This window comes from Homo sapiens, chromosome 2, assembly GCF_000001405.40.
Source record: "Homo sapiens chromosome 2, GRCh38.p14 Primary Assembly".
NCBI lineage: Eukaryota > Metazoa > Chordata > Mammalia > Primates > Hominidae > Homo > Homo sapiens.
In genome coordinates, this window is record NC_000002.12 from 37317748 (window position 1) to 37337835 (window position 20088).

The window sequence follows — 20088 nt, forward strand, 5'->3', positions numbered from 1 at the left end:
ACATACTTATCACAGGAACATAAGAGAAAGGGATCTCACCATAAGGGATTTCTCCTATCCAGGTCCTAACTAGGCCCAACAATGCTTAGCTTCCAAGATCAGACAAGATCAGGCACATTTGGGGTGGTGTGGCTGTAGACCACAAAGCATTTCTAACAGTAAGAAAGAGAACAGTAGGTATAGTTAAATATGTATCATAATTTCTAGGAAAGCACAGGTCAAAAAGTTAAAAAAAAAAAAAGGTATGACCCAACCCCTCCACATGGCTTAGGCGTGAAACAGCTCATAATTGATGGTTCTTTCTAAGTTCCATCTATATACCCATAAATAATTCCAATGAAGAGAAAGAGTAAATCATCCAATGTGGCTGCAGAGTAACTCTCTGCAGAGTAGTTAATGGGTTAAATTAGGAAGAACGTGACAGAAGGGCAAAAGCACACAACTATAGTATTAGGAATGGGAAAGCTCAGGAAAAAACTGAGACTTTAAAAAAAACTGAAGATGAAAGCTTTCATAGCTACTTTCAAGTAAATGATCATTATTCCATCTTATATAATGTACAACACTTGATAGTTTACAAATGTTTCACATACTTTACCTCATAACTCTTTGAAAGTTGACAGGGTAGAAATCATTTTTGTAGACAAGAAAATTGAAGCACAAGGCGATAACGCAACTTGCCCAGCAGCACATGGTTATTAATAGGTGGAGCGGGAATTAGAAGCCAGGTTTTGTACTTTCTTACCAGTGCTGTCTCCACAAGAACACACTATTTCTCGAAGAGAACAAGGAACTAAGAATCACTGCTCAGAGGATGTTGCTAAGGTTGAGAAATCGCACAGAAAGACAGACTGCTCAACTTGTATTTTGCTTATCTTCTCCACAGTTTTAAACTAAAACTGCAGAAAGGCATTGAGAACTGAAACCTGAGACAAATGACTAAGACTATAACAACTTTACATGAGTTTGAGTCTCTGGGTCCAGATGCAGTCCATTCCATACTACTAAAGCAATTCACAAATGTAATCACAAAGCTGACTCCTGCAATCTTGGAGAAAGAGCTCAAAAAGACAGATATAATCATGGCCTGGAGATTTGTAGAGCGGTTTCAAGTTCTGGCGGCTGGAGAAGCAGGAAAGCAAATTTCAGAAATTACAAACATAAAAAATAATGAAGCAAATGGTTTGTGAATAACTAGAGAAGAATATAATGATCACTAGAAGTCAACCACATTTACATCTTGGAAAATAATGATTATTAGGCTTCTTAGCTGGAAAAAAATAACAATAGCTTACATTTATTAAGCTCTTACTATCTGTCAGATACTGTTCTAAGCACTTTATACATATTACCTCATTAATCCTCACAGCAACTCATTATATGGTTGAGAAAACAAAGGTTTAGAGATTAAAGTACTTGCCCAAGACCACAAAATCAGCAAAGCCAGAAAAAAAAGATAGTTTATTCTGACAAAAATAGTATCCAAGATGATTGTCCATGCTACCTTTGCAAGAATGTTACTGGAGTGTGGGTTGGATGTTAGTGTAGTTAAGTTTGCTGCTCTGTGTCACCTTAGATGAGGAAAGTCTTTACGGAACTGCCTTGAAACACTGTCCTCAGCCTTATATCATTTTTCACTATTTATTAGATAATAAAGGCATAAAGAATATGCTTATAAAATCCTCAGGTTGAAGAAATCTGGGAGAAATAAACTAAAATTAAACTGAAACTTAAAGGTAAGTGTAAAGCTTTGCATTTAGTTTCCCCAAAATGTGCAATACAGAAATGGGGAAATGCTTACTTGTAAGCAGTTTATATGAGAGGTATTTATCAACGAAAAAGATTAATTCAAACTGCTAATATAATGGGTGACTAAAAGAGCTAATGCAAAGCTAATGCCCTAGGTCACTGAGAACACATCAGCATCCGTCTGTATACTCCTTGTTACTCAGCCTATATCACAATTATGTTTATATCTATGGTCAACATTTTTAGAGCCATACTGATTTAAAAAAAAAAAAATCATGCACGCAAAGGTAAAAATAATGTCATGTGATAAAAATGTGCTTAACAAAACCAAACAGAATAAGTGGTTTTCAAATACTTGAATAAGTGTTAATAGGAGAATTGATTTTATTCAGTATCACTGCAGAGGGTAGACGAAAAATGAAGATGAGAGCACTTCTTACTTAACCTCACAGGTTGCAAGGATTGAGCTACGGGGTACAAACTATCTGTAACAACACCTGGCTAACAGTAAGTGCTCAGTAAGTTTTAGCAATTTTCACAGCAATTAGTTGAAGGAATTAACAACTAAGCCTTTACTTTATGCTAAACACATAAAGTGAGATATGATACTTTATTAAATCCTTGCAACAACTCTAGGAGGTTTAACTCTATTTTCCAGAAAAGAAACAAGAATTTTAGAGAAGCTGTTGTTTGCCTGTGACTATAGCTAGTAAGTGATAGAAATGAGATTCAAACTAGTTTCCCTGACTCCAAAGCCCAAGTTCTTTCTACCACATTATTCCATATCCAACAACCTAACAATGGAACAGGTTGTCTCACGAGGTAATGAGCTCCACAACGTATCTGACTTAAGTAGTTTTTATAAGATGAACTACCAAAATAAAGTAGTAAAATATCTATGAATAAAACTGTATGCAAGTTAACGACTTTTTTTTTTTTTTTTTTTTTTTTTTGAGACAGAGACTTGCTCTGTTGCCTAGGCTGGAGTACAGTGGCGCGATCTTGACTGATTGCAGCCTCCGCCTCCCGGGTTCAAGCGATTCTTGTGCCTCAGCCGCCCCAGTAGCTGGGATTACAGGTGCACATCACCATACCTGGCTCATTTTTGGATTTTTAGTAGAGACGGGGTTTCATCATGTTGGCCAGGCTGGTCTGGAACTCCTGACCTCAAGTGATCCGCCCATCTCGGCCTCCCAAAGTGCTGGGATTACAGGCGTGAGCCACTGCACCTGGCCCAAATTAACTACTTCTACTTTGATGAATGTCTTCCCACTAAATATCATTTTATTATACCTAGTAATATTAGCCAAATAACAGTGTTTAATACAACTAATTTATCAGAACAAATTACAACTATTCATAATAAACACTACATATAAAAATGATTTTTAAAAGTCTCAGTATTAACACAAATAGAAGAAACCTAAGAGCTGTCAGATTTCTGCCCACTCTTTCCATTTTCCCTCTCCTGGTTTGGTTTATGGACCCCAGATTTACTCTGGAAGATGCAACAAGATGTTGGGTGAAAAATATTAAAACTAAATATTAAACCTAATAACTGTAACTTACATGAACCTTGATATGCTGCTTAATTTTGTCTTTACGCTTCAATTAGAAAACTGAAAGAAGAGTACATCTTATTAATTTACAAACTATATACCAATTATATATGCTTGTTTCTAACAGGGGTACGAGGCTCTAAATAATATCATCTAGTTGGCAAGCATTTCTAATATGTTTATTTAGAACTTGTCAAATATTCTTTTGGGGAGCTAGCTGTCACATATTCCATTCAAATGAGCTTACATAATCTGTCATCATTGTTACTGGAATCAAAATATAGGATATTAATGGCATCTTGAACCCAGTCTGTCCTATTTTACAGACAAGGTGAAACAAAGGCCCTGGAGGTGAGAGGACTTACTTGAGGATTATCTCACGGTAATATCACAAGTTTATCTACTTCCTCTCCCTCTCCTTCCCCTTCCCCCATGCACACATTATCTCATTTTTAACACTCTAATTAGGAGAAGCTCTAACAGCAGTATTTCCACTTAACAAATACTTAATTAGTACTTATTATTTCCCAGACTGTTATGAGAGACACTGGAGTTATAGAGCAGTGACCGAAACAGACATGGCCACTGCTCTCTCTGAAATTCAAAGTGTGATGTGAGACACAGACATAACATTCATACAAACAGCTGGGTAATTATAAACTGCAAGAGGTGATATGGCAGAGTATACTAAGGGGACTCAATTCCAGCTGGAATCTCAGGAAAGGTACCTTTAAGGAAATATTTAAGCTGAGATCTCTGGATAAGCAAGAGTCAACGATGCAAAGAGACAGACAAAAGGATTCCAGGAAGGCAAAATGCATCTAGTTATTAAATTCTTCAAAAAGAAGTTCATTATTTAGTGCAGCATCATTCTTTTTGTACAATACTCAGCAAAGGCTAAAGTGAAGAGATAAAATGCTTTTCCTATTGGAATAACAATATTTATTATAACATGAATTCCTCCCAGTAAAGAGTTTTCCAGGTTCAACTTAAGTTTTGTGTACTAGAAATGCTAATGACGTGGAGGGTTGTGTCCACGCCTCTTGACATGTATTAATATTAGTATTCTTTTACCACGTAAAAGTATGTGGCCTTTTTCAATGCAATTCTGACCAGCGTCCTAAAGTCCATGTCCATGTTTTGACATAGGTTTGACTTTGCTTAGTAATTGTTCTTGCTTTTATATTGTATGTTGTATTTAAAAACTCAAGTGTCTACGTCGTTGGTTTTTAAAAAAATCATATCTTGTAGCAATCCCGACAATGATTTATATATTTTCAAAAATACCTATTACTTTAGATTAACATACTTTTCCTAAGAGCTTAGCATTTGCTAAATTGTTTCCTCTAAAATTCTGCTCATCTGGACCAGTGACAGTTGAATCTCAGTCCTTCCACTGTCAGAGAGTACTGAGAGAGCACACCATATCTGCTCTGCTCAGGAACTGAAAAGTTTATCCAGTAATAAGATTATGGACTGCCAGTCTGGCAATGCAATATGAATCCATGTTGAGCTTGACAGATGTTAGTCTCTGCACCAGTAGTAGCTAAGAAATCTGATTGGTTAGCAGCCAATGAGCAATTTCTCACATACTGCCACAATAAACTAACCACAGAAATGGAAAAATTTTTTTTCCTACATTAAAATGAAAATATCTCATAAGCACATTATCTCAAGTTTTTCCTGAGAGGGCTACTCAAAGAGATACATATATATATATAGCAAGTTCGATCTGAATTACATAATCAGCGAGACTCAAAGTACAATCATCACAGAAGATTGTGAATTATAAGCAGCATTATATCAAATTAAAACTTGTACTAGCAAAGAATTTCCTTATATATCAAGCTCTGTACAAGCAGTTTCTTTTAAAAACGAACAATTAACTCCACTGTAGTATTTTCAACTTTAGAGTCTTTTAAAAAAATGAGAACAAAATGTCCCTTAAGAAAACTGCACTTAAATGACCACCTATTCATATTTTTCTGTATGTGGTGTTTTCAATTCGTAATTTAAAAAAATGTAATATCAGAAAGTTTTATTTATGAAGTTCTGTGTGTGTGGCAGTGTTTAAATCCACGAACAGAAAGAAATTTCTATTTTAAAGTGGCTATCTGATGAAACTGAAAGCTTAAAATTTTCTCTAAAAGACTTACCATTATCTAGGATGCTTAAAAAATTAGTTTTAAGATACACATCAGTCAACATTCTTAATGTGAAACGCTATATACTAAATTACAGAACCTGAGTCACCCTGAAATGTGAAATGCTATATACTAAATTATAGAACCGAGGATGGAACCTGGCTCGTCAAGGAGTACTCCAAGCTCATGCACTCAGGCCCACCACAACTGTATTACTACCTACTGAAGAAAAACCTTCCACGGTTTCTGTGTGACACGTTTCAAATCCTACTTTTAGAAAATCTTCTAACTTCTTGGCTGAATGTCCATGCTTGATCTTAACTCGGAATCTAACAGGGAAGGAAGCAAGGGTTCGTTGACAAGGAAAAACTGGCCTAGATCTCAGTCGGGGGAACTTTATGGACGCCTTCTGCAGCAAAGCTAAGGAAAATGAAAATCGCTAAAAATGTAAGAACGACGACATTAAGTAGAAGGGTAAAAAAAAAGTTTCAGAGGAATAAAATAACATTTTCTAGGATACAAATTAAGGCATTTAAAAGTTCTTGTTCCATTTGTGGCTATGTCTCATAAAAGCTGTGTCGCACCAAGCAGCAGTTCAGGGTGTAACTTATCCTTCCTAATCAAAGATGACACCGATAGTCTTATTTCCTGTGGGGATGGGTGTGATTGAAGACACAGTTACGTCCATGCCATCAATCTGTGTGTGGAAAAGTCGGCAGGTCGCGCGCACACACTTGTCGCTTGAATCGTATGTGTGCCTGCAGACGGCAAGGCCTATGCCTCTGACTGCGTTCACCTGAAATAAAATACCCAACCGGCAATACAGTAGTATATGGTTATTTTCACTGCTCAAAGAAACAGTGGCACTCCTCAGTGTTTCAGCTTAAGGAAAACCTCCCAGGAGGGAGCAACTCGGAACAATGCTGCAACTAGCAAATCCAAACGCAGTCGGGATACTGGGGCGAGGGGCTTACATTCTCCAAGCACCATTTACTCACCCCTTTGAGACGACTACAACGCAAAGTGAGGAAATGAAACGAAAAAGCTGGTCCAAAATTCGGCACTGCGAGCGCCGCGGGTCTGGCTTCGGGAACTAGTTTGGGAGACCCGGGAACGGATCGCCTCCGATGGGCCGGGCGCGGTGGTCTCCAGCGGAGCGCGAACCCAAGTTGCCCTCCGCGCGGACGCCGGAACTTGGCCCCTCTGGCGGCTGCGGCGGCGCCCCCGCTCCCCCTCAGCCGCCCACCTCCCGCCGCGCGCTCCCCCAACTTCCCGCCCAGCGCGGCTGACACCGCCCAGCCCGGCGCGGGGTCCGAGTCCTGTCGCCGCCGCCGCCGCGTGCAGTTGGGGGGTTGGGGGTTTGGGGGATGGGGGAGGGGCCGCCGCCGCCTCAGCCCGACGGGCCGGGAGAACAAAGCGGCGGCGGCGGCGGCGCGAACTTTTTCGGTGTCTGTTCAGCGCTCCCCGAGGCGACTACTTACAGTGGCAGGCTCGGCCCGTCGTGAGAAACTGCGCCCGCCAGCGTCTGAGTACCGGACGAGGCGCCAGCGAGGCTTCACGCGCCTCGCAGGATCCCGCCCGCCTCCGGCGCCCCTTCCTCCCTCCCTCCCCGTCCCGTCCTGGGGCCGGAGGGCGGGGGGCCGGGGCGCGCGGGGGGCGGGGGCGCGCGGCCAGCGCGGGGCCTGCCGGGAGCTGTAGTTCCTCGGCCCGCGCCCGCCGGGAGGTGGCCGCGGCGGGAGGTCGGGGTTGTCTCTGCCCCGCGAAGGGGCGCCGGGAGCGCCGGGTACAGTCGGGCTGGCTCCGCACCCTCGAGTTCCGGGCGTCTTCGTGAGCGCGGGGGCACGGGGCAGGGGCGCCGCGGGAGTCGCGAGCGTGTCTATCAGTTACACGCGGTACTTGATCGCGCTGTTGCCGACGGTACTGTCTTTTCCTCTACTGCCGTGCACTCTTGAGGGAGGCGGTGGCGACAATGGGCCAGAGGTGATAGTTGGAACGGGGGACTTGTAAGGCGTCCAGAGCAGAGAGCTGCTTCCACCCTGAGATGTCACAGCCCTCCCGCATGCTCCTCCCTGCTGCCTGCCCCCGGGGTGGCCGCCGGCACCGCAGCTCGGCGCCCAAACCGGCACGTCCCAAGCCCGACGTTCCGGTGACTGCAGGGGTTTTCCCGGTGCTCGGTGTTTCCTCCCCGTCGGCCTTTAAACGCGAATGTGACCCTACCACCAAAGTGGAGTGCAGTCCAGAATCACCAAACCTGGGCTTCCAGGTGTCTGGAAACACAATGTTAACATTTGTTTTGCTCCAAAACAAAGTATGACCGTGTCGGGTGAGTGGGGCGGGAGTGGGAGTCAGCAGCATAAGGATCTAGAGGGAAAATACACTGTGCATAAATTTTCGATGTCTTATGTGAGAGAAAGGCCTGAGAAGCTGACAGGCATTGTCACAGAAGCCACATGATTCTCCTTATGTCAACATTTTATCCCAAAAGTACTTAAATATATTGAAACAATCAGAGGGACTACAATCAAGAGGGCAGTTTTCTTTCTTCTCTCTTTTTCTTTCTTTTCCCCTTTCTCTCTTTCTTCTTTCTCTCTAGAAAAGGTTTTACTCTGTCATCCAGGCTGAAGTGCAGTGACACGATCATAGCTCACTGCAGCCTGGAGCTGCTGGGCTCAAGTGATTATCCTGCGTCAGCCTCCCAAGCAGCTGGGACTACAGGCGTGTGCCACCACGCCCCACTAACTTTTAAGTTAGTTTTTGTAGAGACGAGGTCTCTTGCTGTGTTACCCAGGCTGGTCTCCTGACCTCAAGAGATCCGCCCGCCTCGGCCCTCCAAATCGTTGGGATTACAGGCGTGAGACACCGCGCCCAGCCAAGAGGGCAGTTTTCAAGAATAGAAAGAAAAATAAACATAAATTAGCCCCTACTTTTGATACAAAATCATCACTCTTAATGGATGTCCTCGGATTTAAAGTTAAGAAATGAAAATATTAAGATAATTTATATTAAACATAAGGCAGGTAAGATTGTGTAAAACCTTGATTACTTTATTTAAAAATCTATTTAAAAAAAGATTTCTGAAACATTCTCAGGAATTGGAAGTTGCTAAATGTCTTACATCCAGCAGTATCTAATTCAATCTTACTATATTTTTGTTATTAGAGTCCTATTCAGCTATTCTTTTACTTTAAAATTGAAAGTAGATTTACTCAAGTTTGCCTTCTTTTTAAAGGACTCTCTTGCTTAACTTTGCCCTTTTCTTCCTTTCACTTCCCAACAGACGTTTTAGTCCAGCCCCAAATTTTGCCTCTGAGCAAGATTCCCAGGACCTCATTGGAGCAGTTTACAGCCAGTCTTATCTCACTATTAACTTCCATTTTCTGCTGTAGTACTTAAAGTGACAGAAGTTACTCTTCCTAGAAGTAACTTTTCCAGACGATTCAAACTGCTGTTATACAGAGATTTAAGTATTTGTGTGCATGTGTGAAAACAGAGATATGTAATGTATATATTTCATTTTATTTCCACTGTTCTGCTTCTCTTTTTAAAAATAAAGCGGTCTCCTCCACTTTGGGTAAATCTTTCAGCACATTTGATCAAAGAACTATCTTTGTATCTAATTTTTTGCTTAACATGAACTACAGTTTCCTCAAGGTGTTCCATTCCTGAGCATTACAGAGATAAAGATTGAATTTAATAAATAAGTGTATTGCCATGTGAAATGTTTTAATCCTTGAGAGAAAATATAATCTGAATGCTCAAAATGGAAAGGATTTTTCTTCTTGCTGGTGTTTTATGAAAACGAGCTTACAATATTGCTCTTCTATGGCTGCAGTTGGAGAGCTTGTCCCGCATTATTGGGCTCCTTGTACTTAATGACACACAACATAGCCATTCAAATATGTTACCTAATGCAAGCAAAGAAAGTCAACACTCTTGTGACTTGAGATAACAGAGACATCTGATTTAGAAACCTAAATGCAGGGGGAAAAAATGATCTGCCCGCCGCAGTCTCCCAAAGTGCTGGGATTACAGGCATGAGCCACTGCGCATGGCCCTTATTTTTATTTATTCATCGTTTAGCACAGTGCTCAATAAATGTTGATTAAATCAGTGAATTTTTTCACTAGGGAAATTGATGACAATTTCCAGCTAGAGGAAATTGTCATCATTTTAAAACTGCAGCTGGTTTTAATTTATAGAATGTGGTCACTGGAAAATTATTTTGTGATTGTGTCTTTTTCCATGACCTTGAAACACAGCTGAAAAATTCAATAAAGCATTTGGGTATCAATATAGAGTTAGTAAAATAGTTATGGGAGAAAATGCTTTAGGATCTATTTCTTTATCAGCAGAGACATACGTGATGATATAGTTCTCAAAATGTCCTGTCTCAGTTTCCACTGCCGTTATCCTAGTCCATATCTCACATCTGGATTACCACAACAGACTTTAAGTTGGTGTCCTAGACTAGCTCAAACTGTTATATCCTTGGAACTGTCTTGTCTGATTTGCAGGCTATCAATAATTGTTCTGTGTTCTGATAGCCCTTGAGAGATAATTCTCATGTGGCTCATCACATTTTATTGTGGACTGAGTGTTTATCACATCCTCCTGGGATCGCTATCTGCCCTTCCCTTTTCTGAACTTGAAGAAGACCAGATCTTTTATTTATTTATTTATTTATTTTATTTATTAGTAGAGACAGGGTTTCACTATGTTGTCCAGGCTGGTCTCCAACTCCTGTCCTCAAGTGATTCACCAGCCTCAGTCTCCCAAAGTGCTGGGATTACAAGCGTGAGCCACTGTACCCGGCCGTTTTTTAAATTTATTCATCATTTAGCATAGTGCTCAATAAATGTTGATTAAATCAGAGAATTTTTTCAATATGTCTTGATGATAGTAGTTAGTCTAGTAGTCCTAAAGTACCACATGATAAACTCTGCAGTCATTCCTTATCACCTACCTTACCACGTCCAAATTCTTCTGCTTGGGTATAAAGGTTATTAATAATATCTATTGCTTATTGAACACCAGCTCTGGGCCAGGCACATTCATTCGTTTTTAATGTAACTTTCTGTATTCCATATAACTCCTCTCTTTCCTTTATTTGCACTTATATTTAGCTTTATATAATTTTACACTTGGTTATATTACTATGTTCATATATCTCCATATATATTTCCTATATTTCCAGTCTTAGTGCATAGTGCCACCATCTAGTCATTGAAGACAGAAACTACTTGGTCAGCCTAAACTCCTTTCCCTTGTTCTCCAAATCTAATTGGTGATCAAGTCCCATCAATTTCATACCATCATGTTTCTTGCATGGTATCTGTAAATATATGTCTGTATATATATTTACAACATAGTATATAATCAAAGAGAGGTGTGATAAGGATGGCTTGACTAAAAAGATTAGGAAAATCTGGTAACTAAAGGGAGTGGTTACTGCATATGTTTCACCTAGGATTTTATATGCAGTTCTTAAAAGTTTATATTCAGGCAAGGTGTGGTGGCTTATGCCTATAATTCCAGCACTTTGGGAGGCCAAGGTGGGCAGATCACTTGAGGTCAGGAGTTCAAGACCAGCCTGGCCAACATGGCAAACCCTGTCTCTACTAAAAATACGAAAAAAAAAAAAAAAAAGATTAGCTGGACGTTGTGGCACGCGCCTGTAATCCCAGCTACTCCGGAGTCTGAGGTGGGAGGATCAGGAGGATTGCTTGAACCCGGGAGGCAGAGGTTGCAATGAGCTAAGATTGTGCCACTAGGCGACAGAGTGAGACCCTGTTGCAAAAACAAAAATGAATATTCAGATAATTTGTGGTAAAAAACCAATTACCTTAACCACTTCCAATAATGTCTGTTTATCTTTGTGACTGCAAAATAAGTTTCTCCAGGAAAGAGTAGGTAATACATAAATCTGCTCATCGATTTTAAAATGGAATTAACATTAATTTCCCTTGAGTTATGGATTATTGCTTTTATTCCAGATTTTATTCAACTGAGTATTAATTTTAAAGGTCTCTTTTATACAAAAATTAGTTGGATGCGGGCTGGGCGCGTTGGCTGACGCCTGTAATCCCAGCACTTTGGGAGGCCAAGGCGGGCGGATCACCTGAGGTCAGGATTTCGAGACCAGCCTGGTCAACATGGCGAAACCCTGTCTCTACTAAAAATACAAAAAACTAGCCGGGCGTGGTGGCGAGCGCCTGTAATTCCAGCTAGTCGGAAGGCTGAGGCAGGAGAATCGCTTGAACCCTGGAGGCGGAGGTTGCAGTCAGCAGAGATCGCGCCATTGCACTCCAGCCTGGGCAACAAGAGTGAGACACCGTCTCAAAAAAAATAATAAAAATAAAAATAAAACATTAGCTGGATGCGGTAGCACGCTCCTGTAGTCCCAGCTACTGAGGAGGCTGAGATAGGAGAATGGCTTGAATCCGGGAGGCGGAGGTTGCAGTGAGCCAGATCATGCCACTGCACTCCAGCCTGGGCAACAGAGCAAGACTCTTTCTCAAACAACAACAACAAAAACAAACAAACAAACTCTTAAAATACTGTAAATTGGTTATAACATTTTTAAAAAGCCAACAGAGGAAGAGAACAAAGATGCTACAGACCTGAATAGGAAGCCAGTATTAAAGTTAATTATCCAGCCAGGCGTGGCAACTCACGCCTGGAATCCCAGCACTTTGGGAGACTGAGGTGGGCGAATCCCTTGAGCCCAGGGGTCTTGAGCCTAAGAGTTCGAGACCAGCCTGGCCAACGTGGTGAAACCCTGTATCTACTAGAAATACAAAAATTAGCCGGGCATGGTGGCCCGCGCCTGTAATCTCAGCTACTCAGGAGGCTGAGGCAGGAGAATTGCTTGAATTTGGGATGCGGAGGTTGCAGTAAGCTGGGATCGCGTCTCTACACTCCAGCCTGGGCGACAGAGGGAGACCCTGTCTCAAAACAAACAAACAAACAAACAAATAAACAAACAAAAAAACTCTTACCAGGGCTGACCAAAACAGAGGAGTTGGGACTCCTTTCCTGGAGCGTGCAAACTACACCAGCCCAGAGGAATCAGTTAGAAGAAAAGGGTTGGGATGTGATTTCAAAGACAGAGTACAATCTGGGCTCTACCATTTAGTAGTTTTGAGCTACTTAATCTCACTAAAAATTGATTCCCTTACATGTAAAATGAGGGGGGAGTAATTACCTCACAGTGCTGTTGTGAGAAATAAATAAATGAATAAATAAATAAATGTAATGTTATTATGCACATAATATCATCTGCCTGGTTATACACCAGGATTCCACCATTTAACAAGCTGTGTGACCAGGGGCAAATTAGCCTCTATGTGCCTCAGTCTCTTTGTCGTCAGTTAACTACGATGATAATAATTCTTCTTCCATGAATTATTATAAGGATTAAATGAGATAATACATGAAAAACACTTTTTAAAAAGCCTGGCACACAGAGAATGGTCAATAAGGGTTAACTATTAATATTGTTATTCATGCTAAAGAATTAGAGCTTTTCACATCTCTGTATCTCCTCCTGTCCTTTGGCAGCACAGAGAAAGAAAAGTTGCTAAGCTTGATTCTATGGAGGGAAATTTAGAAAGATAATAAAGAACTGAAAAGGAACAGGAATTTCTATGGTCATAGAATGAGTTCCTCTTTACATCATCAGAGGAAGATCTTACTGCACAGGTCCTCAAGTGACCAGAAGCTGTCACTATGGCATTTTCTGTACTAACAGCTTGAAGTATTCTATAGTAAGGGTAAAATCACTAAATAGATTTATATTTGTTTATTTTTAATATAGTTACTCAGAATATAATGACCTGAACATTTTACTATAATTTGTACTCTTATCATGACACCTCAAATTTCAAAACCTTAAGTATTTCCAGAAAGAATTCTGACCATATTCCCCTAGATTTTAAATTGTTTCCTTTAATGTTCTTTAAATGATGATGGCTAATTTAGCTGAAGGTGAATTGATTTTAATTAGGTTGCTTGGTTTTTTTCCTAGACTCCCCTCGAGATTTTATAGTCCTTGATGTATTGATTCACTAAACATTTTTGAGAGGCTACCATGTGCAAGACATTTGATAGGATCTATAGGTAAAACACCTCCTGTTCTCAGGAATCTGAAATTTATTAGCTAAGCTATGTGAAAATCTATAATACGGAGAAGAGAGTTAAAAAAGAAAAAAAAGCAGGAAACAAAATAAAGGGTTAGAAGATGTCAGGGAAGTACAAGATAAATCCCTGACCTGGGGAAGACTGAACAGAAAAGGAGGACTTTTGCTGGGCCTGGAAGAAAGAATAGGATTAGGAAACATGGGGGAGAGGAGTGGGAGAAAAGAGAAATTCGAAATTCTAGGTGGAAGCAATAGAGCAAGCAAAGGCACACAGATGTGAAGACATTGGGCGTACTTGTGGACGAAATACTTCAGTTGGGCTGAGCCATAGCGTATGTATTTTTTCTCACACAATTGTTACAAGTGGAGACATAAATCAAAAACTATACAATTCACCTTTTATTTATTATTTATTATTTTATTTTTTATAATTTTAATATGGAACACTTCACAAATTTGCATGTCATCCTTGCACAGGGGCCAGGCTAGTCTTCTCTATATCATTCCAATTGTAATATATGTGCTGTCGAAGTAAGCACTAAAATTCACCTTCTAAAAGTGTAGAATTGGCTGGGTTTTTAGTGTATTCACAAAGTTGTGCCACATCTCCACTATGTAATTTCAGAACATCTTCATAACCTCCAAAAAGAAATCTATTAGCAGACACTCCCTGTTAACACCATTAGTCTCGGAGTTGGCAGGCCCACCCAGTGGGTTCTGCCGGGAGCCCTCAGGCAAAGACTCCCAGATGCTTGCTGTTGGAAGCCCCTGAAAGGGCATGCATGGGAATGGTGAGTATGGAGGGATACTGGCAGGGCACCTAATGCATCTGCTACATAGGGCTTCGATGTCTGTCTTACAGATCTGCATCTCTCTCCTTGATCTTTCTATAAGCACCTGAGTGTCCCACAGAAAGACCACAAATTCCAAGTGTCCCTAATTGAACTCATCTTTTCCTTGTAACCTGTTCCTCTTCCTATATTTCCAATCTTAGTGCATGGTACCACCGTCTATTTATCCAAGACAGAACCCACTAAGTCAGCCTAAACTCTTTTCCCTTGTTCTCTAGATCTAATTGGTGACCAAGTCCCATCAATTTCATACCATTATGTTTCTTGTATGGTATCTCTTTTCTTCTTTTCCACTGTCTCCTAGTTCAGGCCTTAAATAGCCCTCACCTGGTCCACTGAAATGATGTTCTAAGGTTTCCTACCTCAAATATTCTCTTCTGTTAATTTTAAGAATTGATACATGTGGTGATAGCTGTCTCCCCTCTGCTACCTGATAAGTACTTCCAATATTCATTCACTTCAAGTTTCTCCTCTGTAAGACCTTCCCTGTCCACTCCAGGTCATATGGGAATCATTATTCCTTTCTTTGTGCTCCTGGCATGTTCCTTCATAGCACCTGTGACACTGTATTGCGCAACTATTTATCTTACTAAACCACATGCTTCTGGAGCGCCGAAGCCATAGTTAATTTATCCATATATCCATTGCAGAGTGCCTTGAACAGTATTAATGCTCCACTGACATGGTTGAGTGTTAGAGGTTTGGGAATCATTGCATAGGGTAGAGAATGAAACTATGGGAAGGGATGAAATTTCCCTTAGGGAAGTCCAGGAGCAGGAATTACATTTGTTGAGATCCTACTCCGCTGAAGGAAGCGGGACTTTAGGTTTGGCCCCAGAGACTCTGCACTTTCCACTAATTACATACAGACTGAAGAAGGTCCGTTCTATTTGGCAATTACAAGTTAGTTTGTTAATTCTGATGAGAGAAGTCAGGAGAAGATTGAGGGCCAAAGCCAGACTGCAGTGAATTGATGGGGTAATTTTTAGATGAGAAGAGGACATAGAGAGTACGCTGGTGATTTTCAGATTTTCAGATATCAATAACCCATAAATTTGTTTAAAAATGGAGACTAAGCAAGTTGCCAACTTCTTGTTTTACCAATTAAGAACACTGAAGCAAAGCAACACTTCAGCATCACTAATCATTAGGGAAATGCAAATCAAAACCACAGTGAGATATCTCCTCACATTCATAAGGATAGCTACTGTGAAAAAAAGACAGAAAACAACAGGTGTTAGCAAAGATGTAGGGAGATTGAAACTCTTAGGCACTGTTGGTGGGAATGTGAAATGGTGCAGCTGCTATGGTGATTCCTCAAAAAATTCAAAGTAAGGTTACCATATGATTCGGCAATTCTACTTCTGGGTGTATATCTAAAAGAATCGAAGGCAGGGTCTTGAAGAGATATTTATACACAAATCTCCATAGAAGCATTATTAGGAATAGCCAAAAGGTGGAAGCAACCCAAGTGTCCATCAACAGATGGGTGGATAAGCAAAATGTGGTATACACATAAAACAGAATATTATTCAGCCTTAAAAAGGAAGGAAATTCTGAGACATGCTATACCATGGGTGAACCTTCAAGACATTATGTTAAGTGAAATAAGACAGTTTCAGAAAGACAAATACTGTATAATTCCACTTATGTGAGGTATGTCCTTAGAATAGTCAAATTCACAGAGACAGAAAGAAGAATGGTGGTTGCTAGAGGCTGGGGGGAAGAGAGAATGTAGAGGTATTGTTTAATGGGTGCAGTTTCAGTTTTGCAACATGAAAATAATTCTAGAGGTGGATTGTAGTGATGGTTGCAGAAAAATGTAAATGTGTTTAATGAACTGAATGTATTTAATGTTAAGATGGCAAATTTTATGTTGTATGTATTTTACCACAATGAAACAACAAGAGAGCAAGACAATAAAAGACAAACCCAAGAACCTACAACTGATTATTCCCAAATATGGAGGAAGAATGTAAGATCAAAGATCAGACTTTGATTAAATATAATTGCCTTATTAACAACATTTTAAAAAATGTTCTCCTTTTGCAACAAACTGAGCAAGCATAATCATGGACAGGCATTAATATGGAACTGGCATTTGGGAACTAATGGTGTAGATTACATTAAAAAATGGAAGTGAAGGGAAAGAGTAATAATTAAAGGAGATATCAGGGTCAAGGGAAGATCATTGTCTGCTTGTCGTTAGCCTACTGGTTAGGCTGTACATTACATACTGTAATGAATCAAATATTTCTCCATATTTGTGGCAGGCACTAGGTTTTATAATCATAAGGTATGTGTTTTTAGACACAACATTTTTCAAGAACTTACTATACTACCAGGTGCCTGCCATTTAAGGATTATATTATCATAATTTTTTTACACCTGCAAAGGATATGCTAAAGATGTGTGCATGTGTGTACTATAAAATAATAGTATTCTGTAGCTATCTGCATAATTGAATAAAGATTAACATGTAATTGTAGCACACAGAGAAGTTTTATAATTAGGCTATTGTCTATCCACTTTACCAGGTTTCCCTCATATTTTCAGTCTCTAAAAATCACGAATAGGCCAGGCACAGTGGCTCACACCTATAATCCCAGCACTTTGGGAGGCCGAGACAGAGGATCATCTGAGGTCAGGAGTTCGAGACCAGCCTGACCAACATGGAGAAACCCCATCTCTACTAAAAATACAAAATTAGCTGGGTGTGGTGGCGCATGCCTGTAATCCTAGCTACTCGGGAGGCTGAGGCAGAAGAATCGCTGGAACCTGGGAGGCGGAGGTTGTGGTGAGCTGAGATTGTGCCATTGTACTCCAGCCTGGGCAACAAGAGCGAAACTCCGTCTCAAAAAAAAAAAAAAAATCCTGAATAATAATTGTTACTGCATTCTTTATCTATGGCTCAATCTTTTTTTTTTTTTTGAGATGGAGTCTCGCTCTGTAGCCCAGGCTAGAATGCAGTGGCACGATCTTCGCTCACTACAGCCTCCGTCTCCCAGGTTCAAATGATTCTCCTGCCTCAGCCTCCTGAGTAGATGGGATTATAGGCATGCGCCATTACACCCGGCTAATTTTTATATTTTTGGAAGAGACGGGGGTCTCACCATTTTAGCCACGCTGGTCTTGAACTCCTGACCTCAAATGATCCGCCTGCCTCGGTCTCCCAAAGTTCTGGGATTACAGGTGTAAGCCACCATGCCTGGCCTATGGCTTTGTCTTTAATGTCATTTATTTCCTGTCTGAGACATTAGTTTGTTTCTCTAATTGATGGTCATTTTCTCTAATCAAAGAATAGAATCAAGAGAAGACCATTTTGCCTCAGAGTGGAATGAAGATGTACAGTTCTCTTATGGCCCCTCCTTTTTGCTTATGAAATTTCCTTTTGGTCCCCTTTCTAAAATTACTACTGTGCTTCTTCCTGATTGTAATACAGATCTAACACTGTTAGAAGGAAATTTTTTGGAGGACGAAACAAAGATATTATAAAAGGCAATTAATCTCTTTTCCTTTCTCACAGAGCTGTAAATTCAAACTTTAGTGTTCTGCATAATAGGTATGTGATTTACTGAGGGAAGACCATAAAAGATCAAGGTTTGGGCAGTAACAGAAGGGGATTAGTCTTACTAAAATTCTATGCTAAGTAATTTAATCTTCTTTTTTAGGGAAATTTAGATATACTCTTGGCCTGGTGCTACTAATCATGAGCTCTGTTGAAATGCTTTCCCAAACATTAAAATTGAGGATGGATTAGTTCATCTAATTTACTATAATCTGAACAATAGCATATATGTGAACCGTAGTGTTGAAAGGATTTTTTATGATCACAATCTGTACTAAGTATTACTAAAACATTCAAAATACTTTGTGAATGTTTTCACGTATAAAAATAAAACGAACAGCATAAATTCATTCTAAATTTAAGCAAAAGTTAGATATTTATAGGAGCATATGTAGTTTTAGGGCCGAATTTGAGTTATGGTGTTACGTTGCAACTTTCTACTGTTATTATTGTTAATAGCTATGTGTGGCATAGCCAACTTGTTTTTTAAATAACTGTTGCTATTTTCTGTGAATGTGTCATTTTTATTTGCTTAATTAATGTTCTATTTTGGACCCTGTGGAAAGAGGTTTTAGAGCCTTTCTTCCTCTTACTTGACACTGATGGGCCTAAGCTGAGTCTTAAAAGCAAACTTTTTCGTGTTGTTTGTTTGGTAAGACTTGAAAATTACTCTTAGAATGACTGTTCTTTCATGAAAAGCCAGAAAGAGACTAATTAACAAGCACAATTAACATTATAAGATTGAGAGAAAGGATGCTTTTTCAGTTGTCTGATAACAGTCTGTGTAGCCTGATCAGTAGGAAAATATCACAATTTCATATCTTTAAAACATGGATAAGTAGAATATAACACTGCAGAAAATCCACAAATGACCCCAGAGCAAAAGACAACTGAGTGGCTTCGTCTTGACTTTAGGTTATATTAGTTTACATTTTGGCATTTAATTTTTTTGAAAAAAATTTCCCTTTCCCCCTTCTACTAATAGATATGATATTAGATATATGATTAAAGGAGACAAAAATACAAAAATGAATATTGTACTTAAAATCTAGAGATAAAATACTTTCAATGGTATCTGATTTTAACTTCAGTAAAAGCTTTCCTCAGCTTATTGAAAGTTAGATTTTAATAGCTACTTAAATTTTCTCCTCTGAAACTATAAAAGCCTGTAGGGTAGAGTAAAAGTACACTGCCTGCAAATGAATCAGCTTTGCATGGCTTTGAACAGATGACTTAACCTTGTACCTTAACTTTTTTATCATTAACAATGAGGATAATAACAATAATAATATCTCTCATCATACTTATTTATAGAATTAGGTCTTAAAAACACATTATTGACACACTTAACATCTCTGATCATATTTTTAACCTACACCATAAAAATTTAGTAACTCTGAATGAAAAATTCTTGAACTAACAGCTTTTTACCTTTCATGTTCTATCATTAATATGTTGCAGAAGGCCGGGTGCGGTGGCTCATACCTGTAATTTCAGCACTTTGGGAGGCCAAGGTGGGTGGATTGCTTGAAGTTAGGAGATCGAGATCAGCCTGGCTAACATGGTGAAACCCTGTCTCTACTAAAAATACAAAAATTAGCTTGGTGTGGTGTTGCACGCACACCTGTAGTCCCAGCTGCTCAAGAGGCTAATGTGTGAGAATCACTTGAATCCTGGAGGCGGAGGTTGCGCTGAGCCAAGATCGTGCAGCAGTCTGGGTGCTGGGTGTAGCACTATGCTACAGCCTGGGTGACAGAGCAAGAAACTGTCTCAAAAAAAAAAAAATATATATATATATGAAATTGGTGCTTTATCTTATCTGATCCCACAAGATGGAAAAATTAAACATAGATGAAATTTTTTGAATAAAATGTCAACATGTATGCCTCTATAAATATACAGACTTAAACATTATATGCATGGATGCTTCCTGTAACGATCAGTTGTTTGTAACTTCACATCATAGGCAGTTTAGGTACTGTGTAGATCAGTGCTGTCTATTCTGTGAGCTGTAAAGAATGAATTTTGTGTGTGAGTCTTTGTCTTTTGCTGGGCTAGGTGCCAGAGCTCCGGCATTGG

At 39.8% G+C, this 20088-nt stretch overlaps 1 protein-coding gene, 1 long non-coding RNA gene and 1 pseudogene across 6 annotated transcripts in view, besides 2 other annotated features; 1 reads left to right on the top strand and 2 right to left on the bottom strand.

Annotated features, from left to right (window-relative positions):
- Positions 1 to 7086, bottom strand: part of PRKD3 (protein kinase D3) — a 74332-nt gene extending 67246 nt beyond the window's left edge. For 2 of the 5 annotated variants that reach the window (XM_005264238.4, NM_005813.6), the window contains exon 1: positions 6934 to 7086. The gene's annotated coding sequence lies outside the window, so the exon portion shown is untranslated. Of the gene's footprint in view, positions 1 to 39; positions 153 to 6450; positions 6658 to 6933 lie in introns of those variants that run through there. The other 3 variants (XM_047443853.1, XM_047443852.1, XM_005264237.5) reach the window with 3 other exon arrangements.
- Positions 6097 to 6176: an enhancer, noted in NCBI's record as "active region_15582". NCBI's record gives its function as "activates an Ori minimal core promoter by ATAC-STARR-seq in GM12878 lymphoblastoid cells {active_cell/tissue: GM12878}" and the evidence as "EXISTENCE:reporter gene assay evidence [ECO:0000049][PMID:35858748]".
- Positions 6817 to 7446: a silencer, noted in NCBI's record as "silent region_11356". NCBI's record gives its function as "represses an Ori minimal core promoter by ATAC-STARR-seq in GM12878 lymphoblastoid cells {active_cell/tissue: GM12878}" and the evidence as "EXISTENCE:reporter gene assay evidence [ECO:0000049][PMID:35858748]".
- PRKD3-DT (PRKD3 divergent transcript) lies at positions 7334 to 9017 on the top strand. Its single transcript, NR_183394.1, has 2 exons — positions 7334 to 7775; positions 8730 to 9017. It is a non-coding gene; the product is annotated as a PRKD3 divergent transcript (long non-coding RNA).
- On the bottom strand, positions 14023 to 14129 carry RNU6-939P (RNA, U6 small nuclear 939, pseudogene; annotated as a pseudogene).